This window comes from Homo sapiens, chromosome 10, assembly GCF_000001405.40.
Source record: "Homo sapiens chromosome 10, GRCh38.p14 Primary Assembly".
Taxonomy (NCBI): domain Eukaryota; kingdom Metazoa; phylum Chordata; class Mammalia; order Primates; family Hominidae; genus Homo; species Homo sapiens.
Genome location: NC_000010.11, coordinates 80698391 through 80704516, shown reverse-complemented (window position 1 = coordinate 80704516; position 6126 = coordinate 80698391). Strand labels below are relative to the sequence as shown.

Below are 6126 nucleotides of genomic sequence, written 5' to 3'. Positions count from 1 at the left end.
TGACGAGAACACTTAAGGTCTATACTCTTGGTAAATTTCAGGTATACAATACAGTATTGTGAACTACAGTCTCCGTGCAGTACACGAAATCTCCAGAATTTATTCATCTTGCAAAACTGAAAGTTCATACTCTTTGACCAACATCTCTCCATTTTCCCCACCTCCCAACCACCATTCTACTCCCTGACTCTATGAGTTCGACTATTTCAGATTCTACCTATAAGTGAGATTATGCAGTATTTGTCTTTCTGTGTCTGGCTTATTTCACTTAACATAATGCCCTCCAGGTTCATCCATGTTGTCGCAAGCAGCAGGACTTTCTTCTTTTTAAAGGTTAACTCAGGATTTTAGTGCAGTAGCACTGGGATGAACCAGGAGATCTCACAGTGTGTCAGAAATAACTCCATCAAAGGTGGAGCATTTTTTCTCTGCCTAGATGCAGAGATTTTGGTCTTCCACTTTTTTTTCCAAGCATCCTAAATGAGCTGGCTCCAGTGTACAGAATACTATTCTCCTTACATCTGTATATGCTGGGGAATTTGCATATTCAAAAATTAAAAGAAATGAAAGAAACAGCAGCTAACAAATGCTAAAAGGCTACCCTGAAGGAGCTACCTTCCGGCCCACAAGAACTCCACCACAGCAGAATTTCTGTGCCTCACCTCTAACTCAATATTTCCTCGATGCCTCTTTATGGAAGTTAAAGTGGTCAGAAGCTGAGTGTGTGTGGATAGCGCTATTGATTTTTCGCTCCTTGGAGAAACCAGGCTGTCAAATTACAAGGCTACAAAACAGGCTAACTAGCTTGGCAGGGGTGCCCCCACCAACTCCACATGGCTCTTTCCCATCCTGTCTCTCACCACACTGGCTTGAAAGACCCCCGTTTCTCTGTCCTCTGCTGTGGACCTGCCAGACTCGGGAAGGCACCGGAGCTGCACCAACCAGCCCAGCGGTGGGTTTCTGCTGTTCTTATTTTTAGCCATGATGCTACTCCCAAAGAGAAAATAAAAGCAAATAAAATTTAGACTGTTGCAACTGATCTCCAGTCATTACAGAATGTTGCTACAGCAACCAACAGGGGCTTGACACTATCTTTCCTCCCCATACCTCCTCCACCTCATTTCTGTGACCCGGGAGCAGGACCATTCCAATGGCATCAGCACCATCTTCTGCGCAGGGCTTCTGTCCAACGTCTTTGAGAATGGAGCTACCCGGGGCCCAGCGCCAGGCAGGCAGCTCTGTGCATGTTGCCTGTTAACTGACACACCAGCCCCCCAGCCAACCTTGGTCCTAAGATGACAGATAAAGGAAGGTTAAGCAAGGAACTGATCACTGTTACGCACTTGAAAACAAACAGAGAAGGAAAGTAACCTCCAAAATGTTTTGAAAGAAAGTTTTACAGCCTGGATTTTTCCTACTTCCCTGTAAAGTGTTGGGAGACTCCTCAGTCACCTCTGCAGTGTAATCCAAGAAATCTGATTTTGGTGGCCCTGCCCCCTTCCCCTCCAGGCTCCTCAGGGACCTGATGTACCCTCACCCATCACCCTCACTCCATCTCACCAGGGACCTGTCTTCCTGTTCAGTCCAGTGCTGTCATGTTCTTTCCCTCTTAAGGATTCCAAAATGGACTGGTTAAAATATGCATGCTGAGTTGTGGGTGACAAATAGTAATGTATGAGCTTGCGGGAGGAAAGACTGAAGTTCTGTTCAGGTCAGCTCTGGGTCCCCTTGGGGGAGGAAAAACTGAAGTTCTGTTCAGGTCAGCTCTGGGTCCTGAGGTGACTGCACTGGGACCCCGGCCCCTCACACAGTCTCAAGTGTAATGACAATACCAATAATGAGAACAGGCCACATGAGATCCAACACACATGGGTACTAGCCAGAGGTCTCACAGAGGCACAGGCGAAACCCACATGCGTGTGAACACGAGCTGGTTAAATATCCAAACCCTCGACAGCTACTGGTGTGCATGCTTGATGGTGCCACAAAGGGAATAACTACAGAAAATGACTTCTAGGTAATAGGTAGCAAGTTCAGAGCTGTTCTATTTCCATCTGAAGCAAGGCCGCCTATAAAACCCTTCACACGCCAGCAGCTCAGAAAGAGGAAGGCATTTGTAACAGGCAGCTGCTGTGGCCATTCATTGCTGAGGGTGTACAGACAAAAAGCCTCCTCCGTGGCCTGAATCTCTGCAGCAAAAAATAGCCACAGAGAATGCTGGGCCTGCAGAAATGCAGTTCATGACAAAACACAGGCATGGGGACCAAGCGGCAGCCGGTGCTGGCCCACAACCAAGTTCTACACAGTCCTCCCACTTTCGCCTCAGATCCCTCTAGTCTCAGGGGAAATCCTTCCTGCAGGTTTGTCCCAGTTGCTCATCTTGTCTGCCTCAAATTCCTTCTCTCCTTTGAGGCTAAGACCTTGGAAAGTAAATCCATAAAGACTTGCTATTTCCACTGTCAGCTCTTCCTCATCCCTGGAGATCAGAGTCCAAGCATCAGCTTAGATGGAGGAAGGGAAGAAAAGAAAGCAGGTTGCCCATATCAAACATTACACCCATGAAGACTCTGACATGCCTCAGGAGGCCTGGATCCTCCCTTGTTCTGCCATTGATCCTCCTTGTGGCCTGGGTCAACCCCTTCCCTCTCTGATCCCTGGGTTCATCTGCTCGTACTCCACAGAGGCAGAGTTCACAGTTCCCTCCCAAATACATATGTGTCCTTAAGGCCAGGAACTATGTACTTTGGAAGATGATGCAAAATTAACGTGTGCTTAATGAAAAAAGTTACTGCTTTTTGAATAGTTCTAAATACTATAGGTATAAGTAACTGTTCCAAATGTATTGCACACATTGCTCAGTTAATTCTCATAGCATCTTGTGAGAAAGGTACTAATTTTGTTTTCGGTTTAGAAAACAGGAAGCAGGAATTTGAGACACAGAGAAGGCAAGTCACTTGCCCAAGGTCACGCAGCTTGGAGTGGTGGAATCATGACTCAAATTCAGGCAGTCTAGTGCAGGGCTACTCTTCACTGCCAGGGCTCTGCCGTTTCTGGAGACACATCCCACCACAGTGGGAATGCAGTAATATGCGGATGTCATTCAGTGCCAGCCTCCCCAGCTGCCCACCTCTCAGCTCCCTCAGACCAATGCAAATCAGGTGACTACAGGGTGGAAAAAAGACTAGGGCTGGGGCCCAGCCGGGCACATGGACACAGATATGCTGGTTGTGAAATTGATGAAATACTTCCAAGCTGGCTGACAAAAAGTCACTGCCCCAATCCACCTACCTGCTGGCCTGGCTGCCAAGCCCCTCCCTACTCCCTGCTCAGGATCCAGCCATTAAAGGGATGACCCTTGGCTTTAGATGGGGCCTCCAGGAGGCACCTACCTATGTGGCAGCTGCAGCCCACAGAGGTTGCTGCAGTGTGTCTGTCAGCCCCGCCCTGGCCCATGGCTCTTCCCAAGTCTGTCAGGTGTTCAGGGGTGACTACGGGGACTGGAGCCTCCAGTGTCCAGCTGAGCCTCTTTCCCTGCCCTCTCTGTGTGGGACCTGACTCCTGGCCAGCTCTGGCCTTTGGTCCCTGGTTTTCCCCCCAGGCTGGTGGTTGGCTGTGCTCCTGGGTGGCATGGTTCCTGCCTGTCCTTCCCTTGGAGCTAGACTCTATTCCTATTTCCCTTGCACGGATCCCGACGCGTAGCCCAGTCTGCCACTGGCACCCCCAGCTGAAGCCACAGCACTCACATCTCTCCCTTTCTTCTCCCCGACACATTGGCCCTTCCAAATTGCCTGGAGTTTCAGGCCTGGTGGCGTAAAGAGCAGCTCTCTCTCTCTGGGAAGGGGATGGGTATCCCTGTGGCCCTTGATTGGTGCCCTCCATCCACCAATATAGGCTGCCCCACTCCTCACTCCCTGCTAGAAGCTCTTTCCCCCATTTAAATCCCATTCGGCATTATTGGAAATCTACTGCATGCCCTGCATTAGTGTGACGTGACTTAGTTGAGAAAATTGCTGTATGCTCAGCTGATGGTAATAACAACCACTTAGCTCTAATAACTGCCTGTCAGACGCTGTCCCTAAGTGCTTTATATTTATTAAGTTAATCCTTACAGTAAACCCATGAGATAAGAATTGTTACCATCTCCATCTTACTGAAGAGGGCTCTGAGACACAGAGAGGTTAAGAAACTCACTGTATCACACAGCAAGTCATAGAAGTGTCTAGATTCAGATCCAGCCCCTGTACCTGCAACTGCCACACTATGGCTGACATGCTACCGTACAAAGGGATGACTATCAGGACAGGAAAGACCTTAGACATACCAATTCAAGTCCAAACAGGAATATTTAAGAAAATGTTTACAATTAATTGGTTTATCCCAAGACTTCCACATCTCAGGGGCAGCTTTGGAGCAAATGAAACTGACCAGCTGCTGGGGAACAGGCCCAGGTTTCCAGGGAGAATCTTCCTTTTTTGGCTACTAGGGGGCTTTCGCCCTGTTCCAGGGAGAGTTCCAGGCTGCTTGGGAGCAGAGCATTCTGGCTGGCCCCAGCCTTGCCCACCAGCCACCCCTGCCTGCCAGCAAGCCCAGGGCCACGCGGCAGCTTTATTCTCTCCAGCAGATGTGTGCGTAGAGGCCGTTTTCTAGGTGAGGACAAACACCCTGTTTCCCAGTCCCCCGGAGAGAAGATGCCGTGCTGGACAGGAGCCCTAGCAGTGCAGAGTCCCCTGCTGGGGACATGCAATTTGGGAAGAAGCCTAGGGCAGACGGTTTCTCCAGCCTCAGCCTGCTCTCCTCGGATACTCAGCTGCGCGGCGCCACCTGCTGGACAGACCGAAAGTCTCCTCTTTGGCGATGGCACCAGCAACCCTGGGCTTCCCTGAGGCCACCTCCCCTGGTCCCCCTCAAGTTCCTCCAACCCTAACCCTGGCCAGCAGGAAGGGGAGATCTTCGCCTTCCAAAGAAAGCTTGTGCCGTGGGCACTGGTCTCCGCATCTGGACATTTCACAGGATCAATCAGTAGCAGGATTGTTCATTTATTTATCTGCATTACTTGTCTTTGTTCTGATTCTCAGGGCTCTGACTTCTCCCAGGTCACTCTCATGTCACTCCTTGCTTAGGGATGCTAATTCTTTAAACTCTTTGAGCCTCAGTTTCCCCATCTATCAGGATGGTGCAGGGCTGTTATGAACAAGAGAAAGTGCCGACCTAGGTTATTGCACACCTGCCTAGATAGAGCCAGGTGCTGGGCTCACAGCATGGTGGCCCCGGGTGTCTGTAGATGTTCTCAAGCGCTCAGATGTTGCTAGAACATACCATTTCCTCTGGACAGGGTGTATATAAGCACTGAGCCCTTTTGAGATGAGGGTTCTGGACAGTTCCCGAACCCTCCTACCCATGGGATTCGAAGAGTGTGAGACTCAAATCAAAGCCCCAGCAAAATAACAAATTCCTACATAACAGTAACTCTCAGAGGAGTAAAATCAATAATATTCACATATTTTAACTCTCAGGAGTAAAATCAATAATATTCACATATTTAACACATATTTATTCACAGTTATTATACCTGAAATGCCCAGGTCTATTCTATTTCACTTAATAAATGTTATTTTTTCCTCTTTTTTGCTCCTTGTTCCCTCTAAGCCTATTCTTTCTTATCTGTTATGGGCTGAATTCATGTTTCATATGTTTTAATATGTGGATATGTGGAGATGAGGCATTTAAAGAGGTGATTAAGTTAAAATGAGGCCATTAGGATGTGCCTTAATCCAATATGACTAGTGTCTTAAAAGAGGAGGAAATGTGAGCACACAGAGACACCAGGGGTGTGTGTGCACAGAGAGAACCATGTGAGGACACAGGGAGAAGGGCTTCTGCAGGCCAACAGAGGCCCCAGGAGAAACCAACCCTGCTGACATCTTGATCACAGACTTCCAGTCTCCAGACCCATGAGAAAATAAATTTGTTATTTAAACCACCTAGTCTGTGGTGTTTTGTTATGGCAGCCCTGGCAAACTAATCTATCATCTTAGTATAATAAAGTCAGTTGCTGCTCAATGAAACAGGACTTTAGCCTACATGGAGGTCAGACAGGAAGCATGATTTTATAATAAAATCATGGGC

At 48.3% G+C, this 6126-nt stretch overlaps 3 annotated features.

Annotated features, from left to right (window-relative positions):
- Positions 4511–4770: an enhancer, noted in NCBI's record as "active region_3671". NCBI's record gives its function as "activates an Ori minimal core promoter by ATAC-STARR-seq in GM12878 lymphoblastoid cells {active_cell/tissue: GM12878}" and the evidence as "EXISTENCE:reporter gene assay evidence [ECO:0000049][PMID:35858748]".
- Positions 4511–5102: a biological region, named in NCBI's record as "H3K4me1 hESC enhancer GRCh37_chr10:82459171-82459696".
- Positions 4577–5102: an enhancer, noted in NCBI's record as "H3K4me1 hESC enhancer chr10:82459171-82459696 (GRCh37/hg19 assembly coordinates)". NCBI's record gives its function as "activates a minimal SCP1, AML or CMV promoter by ChIP-STARR-seq in naive H9 embryonic stem cells {active_cell/tissue: H9 hESC(naive)}" and the evidence as "EXISTENCE:reporter gene assay evidence [ECO:0000049][PMID:30033119]".